Here is a 24,093-nt window from a genome sequence, read left to right as displayed (position 1 = left end):
CACAGCATGAATACCACGGTCAGATAAACATGCTGCTGCTATTTGTAGCACAAAATGTTCCAATAGAAGCACTCTTTTCTGACTTTATCGTTTATACAAGGCACATCACTTCAAGTACACCCACTGACTTTACCACTGTGAAACCTATAAAATACAAAAATAACAATAATACAGGAAAAAAAATTAATCCAAGGCTTACATTATAGTCTAACAACAAAAAAATGCACACAAAATCTAAACTTTTCACTCCTCTGTTAGAGGCAACATAACTTTAGAAAGATAAGGCATTTTCCCCTGAAATCATATGCCCATATATATTTTATTTTGTTCTCCCCGCTAACATTTTCTGAGCATCTATGATGTCCCAGGCATTCTGCCTATACTGAGATGAATATGAATCTTGTATATTCTTTCAGGTAAAGTGGCTGGCAATAACTGAATGAAATCAGCATCTACCCAAAGGCTACCATATCACCATTTAGTTCTCAGCTCTAAGATTACCTCTCTGAAAGCCATGCCCTAAATATTTCTGCTAATACACCACCTCACACACATACAAGTCACTCTCTGTCCTTTTACTCTGTTTCATTTTTTTGTAGAACCATCAGCCTTGTCTTGATTTTCTTTCATTACTCTGTGTGTTTACTTTAAGTGTGACTTCCACTACTGAAAGGCAAGCTGTAGGAGGGATGGAAAATGCCCGTCTTGTTCACCACTTTATCAACGGTGCCTAGAAGGGTGCCTGGCATGTGCACAACACATATTTGGTGGTCTAATGAGTGCTTCCAAGTTCACAAATTACCAAAATATTAAAACTTTGTTTTATATGAAATCGTAATAGGGGTTTATTTGGTACCTCCATGAGTTCACAAGATCCAGAGACATATATATTCCATAAATTGACAGGCTAATAGAAAGAGATTTACTCAATTTAGTTTCTATCTAGTGCCATAAATTCAGTGGAAGTCAAATGCAAACTGCCCTTGAAGCATATTTAAGCTGTCTTTAAAATGGAGAAGCAAGAAAAGGAATACAAGAGGAAACAAAATTAATTTACTTGCTGAAAGAAGTATGAATACCATAGTTAGGAATTCATAATGCAAACAGTTTCAAAATGTCATTCAAGTTTCAAGTTCATATTTTTTTTCTATGACTTAGTGTAGTTATGAAAACACACTACACACTATTATATTAAAATATACAAAGTAGAAACTTGTATTCTGTAATAATTGGGATCCTCTGGAGGTGAGCAGCATATTCATATTTGGATTAAATAATGTGAAAGTTTCATTTGGTACTACTATAAAATATGAAAAAAGAAAACTAAAACAAAAAAACAAAAAGGCACACAGAATCTTGAAGTATCATGCTTCCAAAAACATGATGGAATAAAATTCCACTTTTAAAACCTATTTTGCAGGGGGAAAAAACTATTAATTCCATGTTGATACAGAAAGCACACAAAAGTTGCATTTTCTCTACTTTGGATCTCAGACTCTCAGTTCCATAAGTATAGCCCATTGTATGCAATTCCCAGGTCAGGGGTGCAGTAGACAAATTAATTAGTCTATTAAGTCTCAGTCGTATCCTGGCACTGATGTTTAGGTTAGCACCTTCGGCAACAAGTTTCTAACGCTTAACTATGCTGCCATTTGTTCCTGAGAGAAATTAGGAATGAAGGAGGAGAAAAAAAAAAAAAAAAAACCATAGCTGGGAAAAGTTCCCACTGACCTAAAGGCAGAAACATGCACGTGAGTCAGCGGTAGATTGGTGTATACATAAAAAGGAGAAAAACTCCAGTTGATTAGTTCTTGCTATTTCAAGTGATTAGGAGAAAAATAAATGGTTTCTTATCTAAGGGAAATTTAAATAGCATTTAACACTCTACAAAATCAACCTTAAAAAGATGATAGTTTGCTATGACTTAGCACTAAAGAGAAGCCCATGATTTCATATGATGAATCTCTGAAGTATTTCATGGGAAGATTGAACACTTGACTAAATATTCGTGGATGCTACAAATAACTGAAATGAACCAAATCACATATTTCCAAAAACAAACACATGTGCACTCATGCACATATGCACAGAGAAAGAGACTATCAGTTATTGTTCACCTTGAGCCATCAGCTACTGCAGGGTGTATCTAAAACAACCACATACCATACATAGTTGGAAATACAACAGAGCCAAGTTTGTTGACTGTCATACAACGCAACGGAATACCTATGTACTGTGTAGGCATTTTCTTTTCTCTTAAACTTTTCGTTTTCTTTTGTTCAGTGAGGTCATGGTACAGTGAAATGTTTTTACAGCATCACTGACCCAGAAGTGTGCAAAGGATTAGGCTCTAACAACTGTTTTACACGTAATAATTGGGTGTTGAGATTGTCTCAAATATCTCTGAGAACAGTAATGAGAAATGAATAACAGGATAAAGAATAACTCAGTTTACAATGACAGTCTGTCATAACAAATATCTGTTACATATTGGTCAACCATACTATGTTAGAACCCTGATACACCTTTACTAAAGTGATGTTAAACACCAGGCCATTTAGAATCCATCCAGCATGCTGGATTACTGAAAAACAATTGCAGTAGATATGTCTTATAGTTTCTCCAGACAATCCTATTGTCTGGGCTCTATAAAAGCTTGAGTTTGTCTCATTTCCCCCAGACTCAATGCCATTAAATTGAGGATTATGCAAACATAACTACATTTCTTAGAATTTTTCTTCAGGAAATAATCGGAAATACTGAGATATTAAAGTATTAAGGAGGTCAAAAGATAATGATTTAATATTATGTATAATAGTAAAAACTGAAACAATGAAAATGTACAACAATAAGGAAAAAGTTAAATAAACTATGATATAATGGAATAAGAAGTCGTTAAGTGCCATGTTTTCAAGGAACAGTTAATAGGACATAAAATCCCTAGATTATGGCAGGCAAACAATGAAGAATTGTTAAATGAATGAAATAAAAATGCAGCTTACAACTTTATGAATAGCTTAATTCTAATACATACGAATATTATATAAAAAGCATTATATATACATCTTTTATATATAATATGCACACTCAAAGAAAAAGAAAGATACACCAGATGCTGACAGAGGTTATCTTTGGGTAGTGGAACAAAACACGATTCTTACTATACACACATATTACTTTTACAATTAGAAATGAAGCTATTGTAGCTACTATAGCAGTTTGAGTCAAGTAAGGTCATTAACAAAGATGATGATCCTGACAGAATACAGGATGAATCAGAACTTTCTGAGTGATATTCTCATCAAACAGTTGATATAACCGTCAGACCTAGCCAAGTCCAGCAAATCCTGATACCCTCCAACACTATCTTTCCTCCAGGCATAATTAATCCCTGTTATTAAATTACTGTTTCTTATTATTATGTATATTAATGTAATGTCTATTTATCTGTGTGATGTGTTGTAAAATGCCAATTTTTTTATGGCTCTGGAATTCATCCTCTAAGGCCAAAAAAGGGGTGTATGTGGGTATGTATTTGACAAACTCATTTATTTATGACAAACTGCCCTAAACCTGTTTCACATATGGCAATGGATATTTTTACAAGCTCTGCTAAAGAGAATCTCATCCTTCAAATTGACAGTTATAGTTTCTCCAAAAAAATATCATTTTGCAAGTTTTTTAAAATAGCATTTTGAATCAACATTGCCAACTTTTTTAAAGTGTTTCAAAAGATGCAGTTACTCCCTAAACTAAGAATAGTGATATCTGTTTCTTAAGATCCAAATTATTTTATGGGCAAAGTCCATTCCAGCCTATCACTTACAGATACCTTTTTATATCATCATCTATGTCACCCAAAGGTATCCCCATGTGTAGTTTTTCTTCAACTGTCATGACATTAAAGTAAATGGAACTCCTCTGTGATCTATTTGTGTGGTTACTATGGCAGTCACTTGAATTTTGCACTTGGGATAACCCTATTTGGGGCAGGGGAGAAAAGTAAGGAACCAAAAGAATGGAAGAAGAAGTTAGGGCAATGGTCAGCACCTTTAAACACTTACTTTTTATTTGGAACAGCCTTTGGCCAAAATCTATAAAATTCTGACCTGACTTTTTGGCTTCCTGGCATGAAAGTCCTTAGTATTGTGATGCGAACACCATGACAGTGGAAAGAACATCAACCTTTTCCCTTGCTCTTAAGAATCATTAAACTTCTGCTTCTCGCCATCCCCCAAATTTCCACCTCACACTCCCCCACCAACCCTAGTCAGGCCCTGGTTCACAGGTTCTATTGACCAGACAATGGAAACGCCACATGGTGACTGAACGGCTCTGATGGAAAACAGATGAGACAGGGTACTCTGCTTGCCCAGCATTTTTAAGCATGCAGCCCTCCCTTGCTGTCTTTGAGGATATCACTGTAGGTGACACGTGAAGACAGTTAGGGAACGAAATCTGAACACTTTCTATTTTCACGGGTTTTCTTAATTTTTTCAAAGTATTTTCACTCTAAATATGATATCCTAAAAAAGGAAAAGAAAACAAAACAAAACACACTCCAGTAGGTAACAGATAAAAGCAGCTGATATAATTGAAGAGTAGAAGCTGCAGGCAGAGGCTGCAGAGCTTCACTGAGAGCCTGCCCACCTACTCTTCAGCTTCCCCCAAAGCTCCCTATGACCCCTGAAATTCTAGGGCCCTGAGGAACATGACTTGAAAACCACTTAAAAAGATCCTGTCCTTTCAATCACAGAGTTAATATTCACAATGTTGATTATTTCCAGCAACATAAAAGTCCACGACGTGTATAACATTTGTAACTTTAAAAGTCTAAAGGAGTCACTAAATTTTTTGACAATATTTTGCTCTATTATTATGAGTAAAATTGTGTCACAATAGGATTTAAAAATCCTAGGGGTTCATAAAAATAACAGGCCCAAGTTTTTAAAAATGCATTTGTCCTCCTAAATTATTTTCAATAGAGGAGGAGAAAACTGTATTTTTTATAGCTAGCTGTAAGTGAATTAGCTACCAAGCATAAAGTCAGAGGCCAGAATCACGCAAAACCCTATTCAATAGTAGAAACTGTTATAGTAGTTTCAGAAAGGAAAAGAAAATTAAGCAATGGTCCTCATGCCACTTAGCCAGCCAAAGAGATGTCCAGAAACTTAATATATCCTGCCTTATTTTTTTTTCTTAGTCCTCATAAAACTGACAAAACAAAAGATGGGGTAAAGTTTTAAATAGTCAATAAAAATGTTTTGTAAAGTGCTCTGGATATTTTTAGTGTCACAATAAGGCCTCATTTCAAAGAAACATGGTTGGATGCCTTGAAAATTTTTGCATATTTCTATGATATATCTTCAAGAGATAGTCACTTGAGATAAACATTTAATTACTTCCTACTTGAAAACAAGAGTTTTAATAGCTCATTCCACACTATATTGTAATTGTCTGTTGATGGCTTTTTAAAAGTATTGGTACTTGTAAACTTCTCACTAGGCAGTGAGTTCCTTGAAAGTAGGTTGTAGGTTTTATTCATCCTAGTTTGGTTATTCATTAATCCATTCAACATTCCCATTGTATACCTACTAGCCCTATACTAAATCCTTATTAGTAGTTAAGTATACACAGAAAAAAGTCACAGTTCCTACCCATAAATTCTAAAAGTGTAGTGAATAAGAAAGCAAATGATTGCAATACAGTGTCTTAGAGTCCAACACTGTGTCACAGGAGCACAAAGAAGTGACAGAGAGCTCACCTGAAATACCAGGGAACAGCCAATCTGAACCACAGTGGAAGCTTCAGCTAGGTTCTGAAGACCACTGGGAGCTAATCATGGAATGTGTGGTGACATATGCAACCAGAAGATCTAAGCAATGCCATATATTCAAGGGTCTCATATGTTATACTGAAGTTTCTTCACTTTATTCTGAGAATCCATTTAGGAATTTTGGAAAAGTCACTTTGTATATACAACAGAGTGTATATAAAACAGACTAGAAGGTGCAAAACTGGCTGCAGGGAAACCAGTTAAGAGATAGTTGTGGTGATTCCGGTGAAAAACGATGTAATCCTAAACAGTCTTAGTTTAAAGTAGAGAATGGTGGACATACCTGAGAAGTATTAAGGAGACAGAACAAGCAAGCCTTAAAAACTGAGTTGAAGACACAGAGAAGTCAAGGAATCAGGGACAATTCCTAGGTTTCTGCTTTTGGCCACAAGGAGAACAGAGATGCAGTTTACTAATTAGGGAACACAGGAGGAAAAGCAAATCTGGTGGGGGAAGGGAAGACGAGGTTAGCTTGGGACATGGGACGTGTCAAGCTTGAAGTTCTTGTTTATCATTCCAAGTGGAGACGTGCAGAAATCATAGGACGTGAGGATCTGGTGCATAAGAGAGAGACCTGTGCTGGGATGTAAGATATGAGAGGCATCAGCTACAGTGCAGTTAAATGAAGTCATGAAAAGCGGGAAGAATGAGCCAGAATAGGGCTAAGAGAAGAAAGCTTCAAATTGATCTGAGAGCACCAAGAAGGGACACAGAGGAAATAGAGAAACTTGCAAAGGAACCAAAGCAGCAGCAGCACAAGTGGTCAGAAGTGGGTGAGGAGAGTCCAGAAAACACAGTTTTGAGAAGGGACTCCTGAGTGTTAAATGATCCTGAGATACACCAAAAGGACTTAAAGAAGGCCCTTAAATTTTGCAAAGAAGTAATTCATGACATTTGCAAAAGAGTTTTAGCAGAGAGATGATAACAGAAGTGATACAAAAGTTACAGAGGAGCAAATATGATGTGAGAACATACAGAGAGTGGTTCTAGCATAGGTCACGGCACATATTAAATGCTCCAAGTGATTCTAGTTTAGTTTCTCCACTGCAAGTCACACTGCCCAAGTTTTTAAGACATGCCACTATCCCCCAAGGCAATACCAAACAAATGTTTAACGACGGCTTTGACTGTAACCAAAATCTCAGTGGAAATTAAGAGAAGTGCTGTGGGACACTTACTGGATTAAAGCATTTAGGAATCTCTTAAGCCATCGTAGTAGCCAAGTTTCATGCTCCACAATCTAAGGAAGCTGGAATTGTTGGGAGGCATTGCCTTTGGTGGTTTTCAGTGCATGTATCATGAAAACTGTTCATAGAGTTGTGTCACAAATCATTTTATTTGTTCTTTTAAATGAATCTTATGGTCTGGGGGCATAAAAGTAAAAATAAATGAGTTTTATGAGAATAGTAAAATTAATTTATCCCTAAAACTCATAAAATACAAATATAACATCAAAATAGATTATGCCATAGATTCTGTATGACATAAATGACTTAGTAATGTTACCCCAATTAATTGCTCAGTTGATTATTATTCAACCACATAAAAGATATAAACAGGTAAAATATCTTATATGAACCAAAGACCAATGAGCAAAAATAAGGGGCCTGTTTTATATCTTTACATGTTTTCATATCTCAGGCAAAACAGCTATAGTGCCAGCCATCTGTTTATTCACATTAGCATCTAGCCAAACAATAATATTTTTTCTTATATTACTAAGGGACTTGCCAAAAAAAAAAACAACCCAGCCTTCCACTTAATTTGCATGACAACATAGGAGGAGGGCCCGCCCAATGCTGTCTCAAAAGAATCAACCAGAAATTAGAATGAGATTTCAACTCTTAAAAATATTTTTAGTTTATCAAGATGAAAATGTAACTGATCTGCCTTCATGCACAATAATACCAGTTTCTGCCTACACCTTATCTCGAGGAAATTTATAAAAGAACTACACACACCCATTCGGAAGATTTGCAGCTACAAACATTTTTAAAAATAAACAGTGGTGCATGCCTGTAGTCCTAGCTACTTGGGACGTGGAAGCAGGAGTATCTCTTGAGTCCAAGAGCTTGAGGTTACAGTGAGCTATGATCATACCACTGCCCTCCAGCCTGGGCAACATAGCTTTATTTCTCTTTCTAAAAAAAAAAAAAATACAATAAAACAGAAAATAAAATAAAAAATAACCACATACACATATTTAATCATTTGACGAGACTTTCGCCTACTAGAGCAATATAAGAAAAAGCACTTTTACCAAATTCCTACATTTACTCTCCACAAACAGCTCCTCTTCTGACTGCCCAGTTTCTGTTAACAAAAATAACCAACATTCCAGAGATACTCAGCCTCAAAACTTTGGTGTTATCATCCTCCATATCCAATTAGCTGCCAAATACAATGGATTCCACATACTCGATGTGCCAGGCAATGGTCTCTTTCTTTACATTACCTCTGCCACAATGCAATTAGGCCCTTTACTATCTCTATCTGTGCAACTTTCTGAATGCATTCCAGTTCTTCCTAAGCAGAGTCCCAACTGCTCTCCATAAAGTCCAGTTCCAAGTTACTGCTTTTCAGCTTTCAATGGTTCTCCCCTGCCTGGCAAATTAAGTGAATACTCCTTGGCCTGGGATTTAAGATCCATAACATGGCAGTTTCCTTCATGCACAACGATTTCAGGCTTGCTATCCTGGAACTGCATTTCCCAGTTTCTGACCTCCCTAACATCACTATGCTATTTCTGCCAACTGAATGTCCTTTTCTCCCATCTTCTCTCACCAAAAGACTACTTGATCCTTCAATAATAATCTCAAACATCTGTTTCTTCATAAACTCAAACATCAATTTCTTCATGATGATTTTACTTTCCCCATTCATCTCTGATCCTGCCCTTTTAGGAGCCCTCACAGAATGTCTGTGCCTTGTATAGTTCCTATGTTTCATTTTGAATATTGTTTATTTTTGCTTTTGCCTTAAATGCCATTAGCAATCCACTGGCTCCATGAGGGCAGGAAATGCACTACAATTATTTCTCATCTAGAGGAGCCTAATGATCTGATCATAGTAACACTGTCATTATTTGCTGAATTTAATTGAAAATGTTAATATGTTAGCACGAGTTTGAAGCCAAATCAATTCATCAGTGACTCGCAAGGAATGAACAAACCAGTCTGTCCACTAGAGCTTTTATTGTCCCTTTCTTGTGCACCAAGCCTGTGACTTGCACTAGTTGTGTCCAGATCATCTGAGTTCACCAGTTATTGTTAGCAAAACTTAAGAATTGTGGGTAAATGGATTATACACAAATAACTTTCAAAGAAAGTAAATATTAGGTCAATTTTGAGAAAGGAAATATCTTTTTAAAAATAACTCTTTTGATTCTACCAAAGAAAAAACATGCATTTAATAAGTTTTCAAAATAAAATGAGACAGTTTAAATTACACATTTTTGTAAAGGTCAACACATAAGTTAATTTGAGGTCCTCTGTTTTCTAAACATTATCTACTAGATTTTCACCTATGAATACCATTGAAGGTATTATTTTTAACTATTTTTTTAAACCACAAAAAGCAAAGGTAGCCATTTACACAAACACACACACACACCCCTATAAATCATTATAACACTGTAAGATTCAAGAAAATAGTGACAGTTTTAAAAAATGCAACCTAATGTATAGCCAAATAACTCATGAAACTCAGCATGCACTGCTGACTTTGGACATGATCACCAAATTTAACAAGGTGTTTGTGAGAGAAACAAATTAAGAAAGGTCCCCAGAGTATCCATTCAAAATGACAGATGCATCTGAACTCTGGGGCAAACTCCTCTAAGCTAATATTGTGCTTGGCCTTAAATAAAAATTGTAAAATCTAAACATCTTGAATTTAAATAATAATTCAGAATGTAGGAAAACACTGCAAAAGTCAGGCTATCAAGCATATTAGAGCCATCTAAGGCCTAAATATAATCATGTAATTGGTCTTTACGGATAAGACCAAGAAGAGTCTGATACAAAATTTGCGAAACCTATAAAACATCTATTCAGAACGAAAAGCACCAAATATCCTGCAGTGCAAAGTGAAAGAGCATACCTATTTTTCATAAATATTCTTTCCTGGGCATTCATCACTGAGTCACACATATTAGAGCTGTCATTTTCAAAGAAAGGAAGAAAAGGAGGGAGGCAGGGAGGGAGGAAGGGAGGGGAAGGAAAGGAAGGGAGAGAAGGGGAGGGAGACGGGAGGGATTGGGGGGGAGGGAGGGTAGGAGGGAGGGGAAGGAAAGGACAAAAGGGAAGGGAAGGGGAGGAAAGAGGAGGAAAGGGGAGGGAGGAAGGGAGGAGGGGAGGAAGGAAGGAGAAATGTGTGCCTTGCAGGTAATCTTTGCTGCGTGAAATTGGATTGCTGAAAACTACCATTCATTGAATTCTTATAAAGCCCTGATTGCTGCCTATCACCATTTGGCACAAACTAAGAAAAGTTATTTTCCACTAACACCCCACCAACTATCACAACTCATTCAGCTTTAAAAATTTACTTGGTTCTTTGCCTTATTTTTTGAATAGTTGGTTCAAGTCCTTACAAATATCCAAATTCCCATTAAAATCTCTCCGGTACCATGTCCAAGTTTCAAAGCTCTTCAGTGCTTTTCTTTACATGTGGATTTTATATGGACTTAGAATTTTTAAGGCATGTGCTCTTGGTTGTTTTGCTAACACTGGGTGAAAGACTTGGGCTCATCTGTGAAATTCACAAATAGTGAGTTTGTGAAAGTCACAAATTTTAACTTCTGATAACACTTAGGATATGACTGGCTAAGGTTTGGAAGCCAGTATGTGATTAAGAAACACAACAGTAAAATTCACTGACTTATATCAAAACAGACTACTTATCTTTGACATCATTAATTCTTAGCCTCCCTATAGTCCTGTGTATTGCCTCAGAATTACAGATTAATAGAAAAATGACCACTTTTCATCATTCCTATGTCCATTCCTTTTTTTCAAAATTTGCATAGTTAAAAATTATATTTCTAGAGTGAAGAAAGGAGAGAGGTCAACATAAATTGTGAAACTGACTAAAAGTGTAAGACATTTATGCTGCTGGTATGGGAGGAATCCATATTCTTAATGTCATGCTTGGAGTCTGGGTGGCTACAAGGCAGGTGATTCTAAATAGGAAGAGGGAGATTGACCAATTTCTGATTTCACAGACATAAGTTCCAGTTCTTGAAGGCAGAGAGGACAAGCATGATCTAATATGTATTTTGTATACCTCAAAACAAACTCTTCACTTAATAGGTGAGGAAACTACAGTCTAAGTGGCCAGGAGATTTTACTTCTAGGAAAGTAAGTTAAATTGGAAGGATACCAAAGGCTTTGATGTAGCAGCCAAAGTTCAGTGGCAATAAATTATTCAAATTAACATAAACATGAAGAAGATTTTTTGGCTCACATCACTGAAAAGTTAAGTAGTATAAGCCTCAGGTAAGGCCTGATTCAGTGGTTCAACAAATAACCAAAGACTCACATCCTCAGTGATATGTGTCATACGGTATGTGTGTCACTGTATGACACACATCACTATAGCAAGAAACGTTAAATACACTGATTGTCTTGATCTAAGTTGCACACATGATGTGAAGTCAGCTTCCCTGAAAATTTATGAATACTCAGAAGGAAACCATGGACTGTCTTGTTGGAGAGAAGTGGCAAATGAATGTTGGAGGTCAGTAAAACAGTCCACCTTAACATGCATGTCTGGGACACATTCTGATCCTACACCTGAGGCTTCTGTCCCCACTCTTTATCATAGTCCTTGTTTTGAGAGCAGTGATGGGGTAAACAAGGATGTATTTATTGTCAAAAGATGAAAAATGCCCCCAAGTATCCTTATTCCTAATTCAGGGAGTAGTAGACTAGGTATCCTAATAGGTTCTCCAACTACTCCAAGTTTTATAATGTTGAGAAAGCAAAATGTAATGCAAAAAAGTTAGTATCTTCTCCAACTTAAGAGTACAGTAAGTTTTGCTTAGAAACTTAAGGGCAAGGAAATAATTATACAAGAAAATCACATAAACAATAAAATAATTCAGCCAATAGAATAGTTTCAGTAATTCTGAAGCTCCAACTTTATCTTGCTTGTCCTAGAAAAAGTGAAGAAAACTAACTATAGTTGCCATATACGGGTAATACAGATGTGTCAAGTAGCAGGGAAAAAATACTCCTCGGAAGGGTCAAGGATTTCTTCCAAAAATGAAAGAGAACATCACAGTCCCCCAAACAGCATATGCTAGTCAAGACATAGCATCCTTAAGTTGGATGCTATAATAACTGGAAGCAACCCAGTGTCAAAGGCAACCCATCAAGAGTGGTTTATGCATGTTATTTAGTGTCACACTATAGATTTTCCTAAGACCCAGTCCAAGTGTGAGCAGGACCTTTCCGGAAATCACAGTCAAAGAGATCTAGAACCCAAATTATCTTTGAGCCGAAAGATCATCTAATCTAGAACATCTCAAACTGTGCCTAGAGGTAGGGGCAAACAGGGCAGAGAAGGTTTTATAACCACCCCTCTCTTCCCACTATTTCACCTCCAACAAGAACACATCTGATTTTATCTATTCTACAAAAACAGCTTCTGGAAATAAATTCATTTGAATAAAAAGCTTTGGGGCTAAAAAGAATAGCTAATCTAAACTTATTATTATTCAATCTGAGAAACTTAAGTCCAAGAAGGTTCACTCATTTATCAAGTGGAAGTGCCAAAACTTAAACCAGGGCTCTCAAATTCATTCAGTAAGAATGGCATATCTACTGCTAGTCATTACCTTGAGTAGTCTCTAAACCAGATACACCTCACCAACAAGTAAATCAGAATATCTAAATACTCCCTTCAATTTCAATATTTCCTTTATTTCCTTTCATAAATCCAAAATTTCAGAGTACATAAGCCTGTTGCATTCACATCCCAACTGTAGGTGGTATGTGACTGTGGGATAGGTACTAAACTCCTGTAAAACTATTTTCTCATCGGCAAATAGGAATAATATTATGCTACCTCTAAAGGAGGTAGCATGTTAAAATGTTTTCATTTTAAAAACTTCACCATCATGTACATAAAAAATGAAGAGAAGGACATTCTATAGAACAGTTACAAAGCAAAATGTCTGACAAAGATAAACAAAGTATATAAGATAAATTAATTATACATAATTGTATGTTGCATGTTTACAGCATTTTAGAGACCCATGGTGGAAAATAGGTCAATGAAATAGCACTTTTGATGTGAGTTCCTTTGGGATATATTAACCTAATGGCAGCATAGAAGCAATGGTGAGCACTCTATCCAATTTGGCTCTTCGGAACTCAAAATAAAGAGAAAATTTTAGTACAACCTAGAGAAGAAATGTTGACAATTGTTAAAAGATTGCATAATTTGGGGTCTGGATAGCAAATGATCAATTTAACCTTATAGAGGGTGTAAAGGTATTTTAACATTTATCTAAATAAAGAGTATTAGGTTGGCTTTATGGATCATACTGTTGATTCTTATTCAGAATAAAGACACAGCAAGTGGTTACCCAGAGACAAAATCTGGCTTTCAGGAGTAATTTTCCACACAGTCAGTGCATGCTTACTAATATTATTTTATATAAGATAATTGTAATATATATCATAATTGAGATAAAGTTTCTAGAAGTCACACTGATGAAGAAATTACCATCAAAGGTTCCCGCATGCTTTAGATTTTGCAATCTTATAACCAACTTAGAAAGAACAAAAATAATAGTGCTAAAACATTATCAACAGACTATTGAAATTAATTTCTGTAGTCTGCAAAACGAAACTAATTTTGCACTTTATATACATAATGTTTTATTTGTGGTTTGCTTTATCCATTAAACATTGCTATTGTGTTGACAGCACAATAGAATGAGAATGACATATAGGCATCTCTCAGTCTCTCTCTCATACACACACGCACACGTCCCACAAGAGGTATCCACATGTTACACACACATATAAGAAAAGTGCTAGGCCAGGCACAATGACTCATGCCTGTAATCCCAGCATTTTGGGAGGCCAAGGTAGGAGGACTGCTTGAGCCCAGGAGTTCAATACCAGATGGGGCAACACTGGAAGACTCCCTTCTCTACATAAGAAAAAAGAAATTAAGAGGGTATGGGGCTGCATGCCTGTAATCCCAGCTACTTGGGAGGCTGAGGTGGAAGGATAGATTGAACCCAGAAGGTCGAGGCTGCAGTAATTGTGTTGCTGCACTCCAGCCTGGGTGACAGAGCAAGGCTCTGCCCCTCCCCAGCCAACAAAAAAGGAAAGAAAACATGCTAACAAAATGAGAATTTTTTTTTTCAGAAAAATTGCTAATCCAAGATTATTTATCTAAAATATTAGGATCTTCTTTTAAAGATGAACATATTTAGATTACAAAAAAAGGACTCTTTCTCCATCAACTTCTAAAAAGATACTTCAAAATTCACAAAAATATCAATATGTCATTTCATTTTAATGCTACAATCCTGCAGTGAAATAGGTTGTATTTATTGATATAATTGGATCTGTGCCCCCACCAAATCTCATTTTGAATTATAATGCCTAATATTGGAGATGGGGCCTGGTGGGAGATGAGTGGATCAAGGGGGCAGGTTTCTCTTGAATGGTTTAGCACCATCTTCTTGATGCTGTCCTCATGAATGTGGGTGAGTTCTCATGAGATGCGGTTGTTTAAAAGTGTGGAGTACCTCCCCCCATTCCTCTGTCTTGGTCCTGCTTTCACCATGTGACTGGCCTTCTCCCACTTTGCCTTCCACCACAGATAAAAGCTCCCTGAGGCCTCTCCAAAAGCCAAGCAGATGCTGGAGCTACGTTTCCTGTAGAGCCTGCACAACTGTGAGCCAATTAAACCTCTTATTTATAAATTACCCAGTCTCAGGCATTTCTTTCTAGCAATGCAAGAACTGAGTAATGCACTTGTCTTCCTATAGAATACAGTATTACTATTCTAGGCCTCTTGAAGTGTGGCTGTAATAATTCTGTTCACGTATCAATATTAGCCAAGCTAACAGTGCACTCTGAGGTCATATTGTACCTCAAAAATATCCTGTTTCAATATCTGGAGGAAAGACAGGTTCAAAACGCCAAGCAGATTCCGTGAGGCTGAGAAAAATCAATGTCAAGGCCTAGTGAGGGTGTAGGAGTCTTAATGCTACCACTACAGCTCTTTGTTAAAGTTCAGAAAAAGTTACTTTTATTAGTGTGGGTACATGCAATTTAATGGTTAAAATGGGTAAAAACATACTTCCTTAATCTTCTCGGAAGAAAAAAGATAAGCATACAACTTTGAACATATTATTCCAGGACTAAATGTTCACAGATAACCAGGATGAGTTTGGTCTCCTTGAAAGAACACATAAAAATATTTAGTTAGTTGTATCTTTTTAGCCACTTGGAAAACAATAATTTACCAATGCCAAAGCTTGAAGTGAGCACTCAAATTAATTATGTAGCTATTTGTGATTTGAATTTCTCCCAAAAATGTAATGAAGTGAGTATTCTCTGAAATAGGGGTCACTATTTAAAATCAGCCAGCATGTGGCATGTTTTGTGGTTCTGCTTATGCTCCTTGGCAGCAACATTACAGCTAACCAGGACTTTTTTTAGTACTCGCTCTTGGTGTGTTTGACAACTCCTCACTCCCACAGTCCTTTAACATGGGGCTTCCCCAGTCAGGGATGCAGATCCCACACTGAGCCCATAAAACAATTAGTGGGAGGCCTTGGCATTGCATTCAAAGACCTTTGCAAAAAGCCAATGTAGCCGGCTGTGTGAAATTTGACGTGTGGGGAGCCCCCATAAAACTCTTTAATGGAAACCGGGGACTTCTTTTGGAAAAGGTTGAGAAACTGAGCACTAGCTGTATAATTAATATAATTAATTAACAAGAGACAATAAGCATTTCAATAAAAAGAATCAGAAAGTAATAAAAGAATAAAAATTCTAGGCAATATTTTCTTTGTAAAAGAAATTGAAATAACTGTTCTGTATGAAGAGAGATTTCCTTGCATATGGGAAAAGTAGTTTTGTTTGTAGTTTTAATTTAAAAGAATTTGTCAAAATGCCACATAACCAGTATAAAAAGTACAATTAACATCCCTTTTCTTTTTTATTCAATACTTACCATATCCATTTTTAAATATCATATAAAGCACTGTTTGAAGAATCTCCTCAAAATTATGAACCCAGACAACGAAAACTTGCAAGAAAATACTTTTAACACTAGAGGCACCATAATCCAATAAAAAGGAGAATTATTAATATTCACGAACAATTGAAAGACAATTACTTTCAAACAACAGAATAAAGAATATGATAGAAAAATGACGACACTGTCCCCACTTTTATTCATCAGTATTTTCCAGAGTAGAAACAAAATGATTTAGGAGAATCTCCTAATAGAAAAACATGACTTAAATCATCATCTTGGGTATAACATTTTTAGAAAATTTATTTTTCTTGGTAGTTCCCCATTCCCATATCAAGAGCTGGATCATAGACTTTGCCCATAATATAGAAAAGGCTCAGCCTATGATGAAAAGGGAAGCCCTGGCATGCAGGAAGAAAGAAGGCCTGCTCCTTGTGGCCACGGGAGAGTATGAGAAGAAAAGACAGATGCAGAGCAAGGAGATCAAGTTTTAGTGACTTCTCAAACTCTACAGTCTGGCTTAAACCATTTCTTGGGTGGGTTGAGGGGGTGGATAAAGGGGGTAGTAATGAGGTGTCTCTGTCAAAACGTCCAGTTTTTAAAATTTACTACTAGTGTAGAAAATATCACATTGTATTCCAAGTAGCAAGGATAAGTATTGGTTTGTGAAGCCTTTGTTTGTTAGGTGTATATACAAGAGCATCCATGTTGGATTATAATTTTAAATGTACTTCTTACCATAATTACTAGTCATAAAAGTTTGAGAGCAATTGCTCTAAGAGAAGGCCAACTCTCAGCTCAAATCCATATCCTATATGACAAGGGAATATAATGCATCGTGGAAAAGGCTGGTGACAGTTAAATATACTTAAGGCAGTGCACGTCTGCGTATGGATGACTTGGGTGTGGCTTGCAAGAGATTCAGAACATAACACTGAAAGGTACAGCCATGTTGAAAGAGTTGGTGGGGTAGCAGAGGCCTCGAAACAAGAAGAAGAAATAACATGATGCATCACGTTATAAGATCTTCAACATTAAAGGCAAACAGCTGGGATTGTGGGATTCAATATAAATACCTACATGTGACCCAAATGACTAGGAAGAACCCATCACTCCTCAGCAGACACATGTTTAAACTTTGTATAAAGCCAGGTTCCCAACAGCAAAAAATAAATAAATAAATAAAATAATGGAGGGAACACTGAATGGACCCACTGACACAGGAGAAGTAAGTTCCCTGTGACAGGTACCAATGCCATATAATAAGAGTAATATAGGCAGGGTTAAATCAAAAATAAAGATGAAATAGTTACACTAAAGAGAATTAACTAACCAAAAATAGCTTACTCAGCAGATTGAGTTCAAAAGGAAAGGAAGTTTAAAGATAGAAGCTTCATTTTTTTTTTTTTAAACAGTGTCTTACTCTGTTGCCCAGGCTGGAAAACTAGAGTGCAGTTATGTAATCACAGCTCACTGCAGCCTCAAACTCCTGGGCTCAAGGGATCCTCCTGCCTCAGTCTCCTGTGTAGCTAGGACTACAGGCGTGTGCCACACTGCCTGGCTAATTTTTTAATTTTTGCAGAGATAGGGCCTTTCTATGTTGTCCAGGCTGGTCTCAAACTCCTAGACTCAAGTGATCTTCACACTTCAGCCTCCAAAAGTGCTGAGACTACAGGCATGAGTCACTGCACCCATCCAGAAGTTGCATTTCTTTGTAACAATGAATAAAACAATTCTATTGCTACATTTGCCATTTAAAATGAGGATACACATGAGAATAATGAAAATGTATTAATGCAGTGTGATGTATGTATACTTGTTTGATTTTAATAGAACTGCCTCAAGACTTAAGTCTGAGAAAAATTAGAGAATAAAAACCTTCATTCCATCATAATTTAATTGAAAAAAAACTTGTATTTCTTGCTATAAAGAAATACTAGAGACTAGATAATACTAAAAAAAGAGATTTAACTGGCTCATAGTTCTGCCAGCTGTACAAGACCCATGCTCTGGCATCTGAAAGGCTTCTAGGGAGGCCTCAGGGAACTTTTACTCATGGCAGAAGGTGAAGCAGGAGCAGGCATGTCACATGGTGCAAGCAGGAGAAAGAGAGTGAGGAGGGAAGTGCCACACACTTTTAAATGACCAGATCCCACAAGAACTCACTATCAGGAAGACAGCATCAAGTCATGAGGGGTCAGCCCCCATGATCCAAACTCCTCCCACCAGGTCTCACCTCCAGCACTAATGAGAGTTAGGTGAGGACAAATATCCAAACTGTATTATTCCGCCCTGGCCCTTCCCAAATTTCATGTCCTCCTCACACTGCAAAATATAATCATGCCTTCCCAACAGTCTTAACTCATTCCAGCACTAACTCAAAAATCCACAGTCTGAAGTCTCATCTGAGATAAGGCAAAGCCCTTCTGCCTACGAGCCTGTAAAATCAAAAACAAGTTATTTACTTCCAAGATAATATGGGGATACAGGCATTGAGTAAACACTACCATTCTAAAGGGGAGAGACTGGCCAAAAGAAAGAGGCTACAGACCCCACTGAAGTCAGAAACCCAGCAGGGCAGTCGTTAAATCTTAAAGCTCCAAAATAACCTCCTTTGACTCCATTTCTCACATCCAGGGCACACTGCTGCAAGAGGTGGGCTCTCAAGGCTTTGGGAAGCTCCACCCCTGTGGCTTTGCAGGGTTCGGCCCCCATGGCTGCTCTCACAGGTTGAAGTTAAATGCCTCTGGCTTTTCCAGGCACAGGGTGCAAGCTGCCAGTGGATCTACCATTCTGTGGTCTGGAGGAGAGCAGCCCCCTTCTTACAGTCTCACTAGACAGTGCCCCACTGGGAATGCTGTGTGGGGGCTCCAGCCTCAGATTTCCCCTCAGCACCATCCTAACAGTGGTTCTCTGTAAGGGTTCCACCCCTGTAGCAGGCCTCTGCCTGGACATCCAGGCTTTCTCATATATCCTCTGAAATATAGGCAGAGGCTGCCAAGCATTCTTCACTCTTTCGTTCTGGGCACCTACAGGCTTAACACCACATGGAAGCAGGCAAGGCTTATGGCTTGCATTCTCCAAAGTGGCAGCCCAAGCTATACCTAGGCCCCTTTGAGACATGGCTGCCAGATCAGCCAGGATATAGGGAGCAATGTCCCAAGGCTGCACAGGGCAGCAGGTCCCTGGGCCTGTCCCACGAAACCATTCTTCCCTCCCAGGCCTCTGAGCCTGTGATGGCCAGGGCTGGGGCTAAGGTCTCTGAAATGCCTTAGAGGCCTTTTCCCCACTGTCTTGGATATGGGCACTTGGCTTTTTTGTTATGCAAATTTCTCTCCCAAGTGGTTGCTATGCAGCCTGCTTGAATTCTTCTTCCAAATAAGCTTTTACTTTCTCTGCTACATGGCTAAGCTACAAATTTTCCAAACTTTTATGCTCTGCTTCCTGTTGAAATATAAATTCCAATTTTAAGTCATTTCTTTGCTCCTGCATCTGAGTGTAGGTTGTTAGAAGCAGCCAGGCCACATGGTGAACACTTTGCTGCTTAGAAATTTCTACTTTCAGATACCCTAGGTCATCACTCCTAAGTTCAAACTTCCACAGTTCCCTAGGGCATGAATAGAATGCAGCCAAGTTCTTTGCTAAGGCATAACACACATGACCTTTGGTCCAGTTCCCAGTAAGTTCCTCATTTCCATTTGAGACCTCGGCAGCCTGGCCTTCACTGTACATATCACTATCAGCATTTTGGTCACCATCATTTAACTAATCTCTAAGAAATCCCAAATTTTCCTTCATTTTCCTATCTTCTTCTGAGTCCTCCAAATTCTTCCAACCTCTGCCCCTTACCCAGTTCCAAAGCTGCTTCCACATTTTCAGTTATCTTTTAGTAATGCCTAACTCCTCAGTACAAATTCTTTGTATTGGGTTGTTCCTGTATTGCAATAAAGAAATACTTAAGACTGGGTAATTTACAAAGAAAAGAGGTTTAACCAGCTCATGGTCCTGCAGGCTATACAGAAAGTGTGGGTCTGGCACTTGCTTGACTTCTTGGGAGGCCTCAGGGAGCTTTTACTGATGGCAAAAGGCAAAATGGGAGCAAGCATGTCACGTGGCAAAAGTAGGAAGAGGCTGAGAAAGGAGGTGCCACACACTTTTAAATGACCAGATCTCCCGAGCACTCACTATTGTGAAGACGGCATCAAGCCATGAGGGATCTGACCCCATAACTGAAACACCTCCCACTAGGCCCAGCCTCCAGCATTGGGGATTACAATTCAACATGAGATTTGGGCAGAAACAAATATCCAAACTATATTAAAGCTTTTGTGATTATTTGTGGAATTATTGGTAGGATGACCAAACGTGATTGTACACATACACAAACAAGCGGCAACTATGAAGGGCTAGAAATAATCAAATAAATCATACCTAAAAATTGGTATTTTCATGTATATCATTCCTTTATAGTAATATCTTCATTATGTTAATTGTGTCGATTTCAAAAACATTTTTAAAGAGGAAGTATTATTACAGAAAAGATGAAACATCTGTCCAATTGAACACTTTTGTTCAAACTATGTTTAAAATAATTTGAGAATTATATTTAACAACTTGGCCCAAACTAGAAAAGTCAATTTATGTGTGCTGTTATGTAAGCATGGGAGGAGGGGTGAGAATTGGTTCAGAGAGAGTGATTCCAAATGGTTTTGATAACTATCTGTTTCCCTGCAGGTATTAAAACTTCAATGGCTTTTTCAAAACAAGATTCAAATAACTCATGTTCTTTCCAGGTTGTGGTTTTAGTTAATTATAAAAAACAAAGAAGAAAAAAATGTAAGGGCAGCTAGAAATAATCAATGGTAATGAAAGATGAGTGATCAAATATTCAGCTTTAAAGATTTCAAAGCATGGAAAGGTGATTTAATCTGTGATAATACCTTTAATGTCACACATGCAAAATTCAAGGCATTTATTATTGGTACCTGTCAAGGTTGAGGAGGTCATATACATTTTTTAAATAATGGGATAAATCATCTTTAATCATTTTCAAATGATCTTCTATAGCAAACCTGCAAATTCTGAATGATCAAAATTTTCCTGAGGTATTGCGTGATCATCAGCTTTATTATGCACCATAACAAGTGAGTTTCATATAAGGTATTACTACTTAAATATATGCATATTATAGCATTCATATCAATAGCTTACAATTCTAACAGGAGAGAGAGTTGTTGACTACTTAGTCAAAATGAGATGAAATGTTTTCACTTTATTAATCTATATGGTCTCACAGTCCCCTAATCTCCAGTGACCACCTGTATGTCGGTCACCCATTTCCCTAATTGACTCCTGAATATTATGATCACCACCAAATATTTCATCTCAAAATTTACTTATCCAACTATCATAAAGAAACCACCACCCTTTCTCCTCCCAGCCTCCTCATTCAACTGTATCCACTAAAACCATTCTTTGACTTCATTAGAACCTTAAGTTCAGTGATTCCTCAACTCCCTCAGAATCCGTAATTCTTATCCTTCCTTTGCATGCATACTCACCATTAAGCACTGCAGTTCCTCAGCTTATTACTGGCCCTCTGATCACTCAATTAATACTCTAAGTGACTCACTTTCAGAGTGACTCTGATCACTCAATTAATACTCTTTCATCCTTGTTTATAGCTTCAATTACTAGCTGTCTATGTCCAGCCCAAATCTCTCTTCAAGGCCTATATATTCCAACCCAATATTACAAAACCAAACTCATTTGCTTCACCCGTAAATCTGGTCCTTTATCAGTGTTCTCTCTCTTAGTGGGTAGGCCTCATCTCTTCAGTTTTACAAGCAAGAAATCTAGAAGGCATCTTCGAGACCACCTAGCTGCACAACATTTTTTCAAAACAATTGCCAGATCCTGTCCATTTTCTACTCTATCCTTCAAATTTGTCCACTTCTCCCCATCTCTACCACTCAAACTTAAGCTTTTAATGACCTGCCTGTATTAGTGAAATAAACCTCTATAGGTGCTCAAAGCATTTTATCTACCTCCTTCCTATCACTTGTTAGACTTGAAATTTCACAGTTTTACCATGATTATTTGAATAATGTCTGTATTTCCATAGGACCTACCCTATCCAATAAGATAGCCACCAGCCAAGTGTAGCTATTTACATTTAAATGAATTCAAATTAAATAATAATTCAGTTCCTTAGCAGCACTAGCTAGATTTCAAAAGCTCAATAGCCACACATGGCTAGTGGCTATGATGATGAACAGTACAGATAGACACACATTTCCACCATCACAAAAGTTCAATTGAATGATGCTTCACTGAAACATAAACTTTGTGAGAATAGGGATTATGTCTTTTTGTACCCCTCATCCACCACCTGGCTTATCACAGAGCCTGAAACATTGTAGGCTACACACACACACACACAGAGATAATTAATTAGTAAGAATAAGCATGAATACAATGGAACAATGACCAGAAATCACCTTCTGAGACTCCACACAGTGCTTGGTATATCACTTGCCATTCTTTAGCAGAGCCTCTGGAGAAAGCAAAGCAAAGTTTAGATATTTAAATCAAATGACAAAGAGGACTAAAAATTTGTGGTTCAAACTGTCACACTAAGCATCCTGTTTACCGCAATAGTTTCAATCTTTACAATGATTAACAAAAGGAAGTGACTTTTTCAAAATCAAAAAACTATCAGTGGTGGCAGAAATTCTTAATCTCTTTCCAAGAGTTTTTGCTGTTGTTGCTGTTAATCTTAAGTCTCGTTAACACCACTTACATAAGGTTATAAGCTAATAATGTAAACCTCACAGCATTTGTTGTTGAAAGAGATAAAAAGCAGAAAATATGCTTAATCTCCACCTATGAGCTACACTATACATATATGTTGCCCACTTGAAAATTATTTCATAATAGACTCTTCAATAAAATTTTACTCAAATAAAAAATTACATCAAATATTCATCAATCTGAGGATTGTGTCACCTCTTCCAAAAGCAATATAAAGCTTAAAATGTATTTAAAAGTTATAATTTCCTGGGAGTTTTAAGAATTTTAAACAATTTTAACAAAAACTGACATTGAAAATTGGCTGGAAAAAAAAAGCAGCACACCATGACAGCTAGAAATGAAGGAAAATCAGAATGGTGTACATGAAAGAATGAATCCAAGTTTTACATTTAATTCTGCCTCCAACTTACCCTCCCTAAATTTTCTGATCTGTATCTACACAGGAAGAGATACGGCTAGTTGTAATAACACTCAAATCAGCTGAAGAGAGAAAAGTGCCCTCCCTAAGAGCACATACCAGAATCACCTGTGAGGCTTTCTCAGCTACCTATTATTCCCATACCCCTCACTCCCTCTGGAGAGTCTAAAAAGCCTTGGCTACAGAGGCAGCTGGCTGTGTTGTGGTCACCTTCTATAGAGCTGAACTGTTGTTCGGAAAGACCACATTTCCCATCTTCCTTTGCATTTAGGTGGGACCTCCTGGCTGATTCTCACCAAGGAGACATGAGCAAAGGTTATGTATGTCACTTCTAAACTTAGGTAAAAAGCAGATGGACCTCCTCCATTCTCTCTTTCCCCATATCCCACTTTGCTGGGAACACCCAAGGCAACTTTTAAAGCTACTTGATGAAGAAAGTGGAGTGTCTATCAGCTTGAATCTCTGAGCAAAACATGGAGCCAGGCCCACTCCCCTCCAATCTAACCTCCACCCACCTCATACCCTCTTATCAGTAAAAAGCTTCCACTTTGTACTTTACTTAAATGAGAAAACAGATATTTATTGTGTGATATGGTTTGGCTCTGTGTCCCCACCCAAATCTCATCTTGAATTGTACTCCCATAATTCCCATATGTTGTTGGAGGGACCCGGTGGGAGATAATTCAATCATGGGGGTGCTTTCCCCCATACTGTTCTCATGATAGTGAATAAGTCTCACGAGATCTAACAGTTTCCACTTTTGTACCTTCCTCATTCCCTCTTTGTCTGCTGCCAT

General features: G+C 37.5%; 1 protein-coding gene across 6 annotated transcripts in view, besides 1 other annotated feature; it reads right to left on the bottom strand.

Moving 5' to 3' along the window:
- BMPR1B (bone morphogenetic protein receptor type 1B) overlaps positions 1 to 24,093 on the bottom strand; it is a 400,496-nt gene that overhangs the window by 222,293 nt on the left and 154,110 nt on the right. The gene's annotated exons all lie outside the window — the stretch shown is intronic.
- Positions 19,134 to 19,635: an enhancer, noted in NCBI's record as "NANOG hESC enhancer chr4:95837674-95838175 (GRCh37/hg19 assembly coordinates)". NCBI's record gives its function as "activates a minimal SCP1, AML or CMV promoter by ChIP-STARR-seq in primed H9 embryonic stem cells {active_cell/tissue: H9 hESC(primed)}" and the evidence as "EXISTENCE:reporter gene assay evidence [ECO:0000049][PMID:30033119]".

The sequence above is a fragment of the Homo sapiens genome, chromosome 4, assembly GCF_000001405.40.
Source record: "Homo sapiens chromosome 4, GRCh38.p14 Primary Assembly".
NCBI classification, from domain to species: domain Eukaryota; kingdom Metazoa; phylum Chordata; class Mammalia; order Primates; family Hominidae; genus Homo; species Homo sapiens.
Note: the sequence above shows the minus strand (reverse complement) of the source record. Positions and strands in the feature narration are given on the sequence as shown.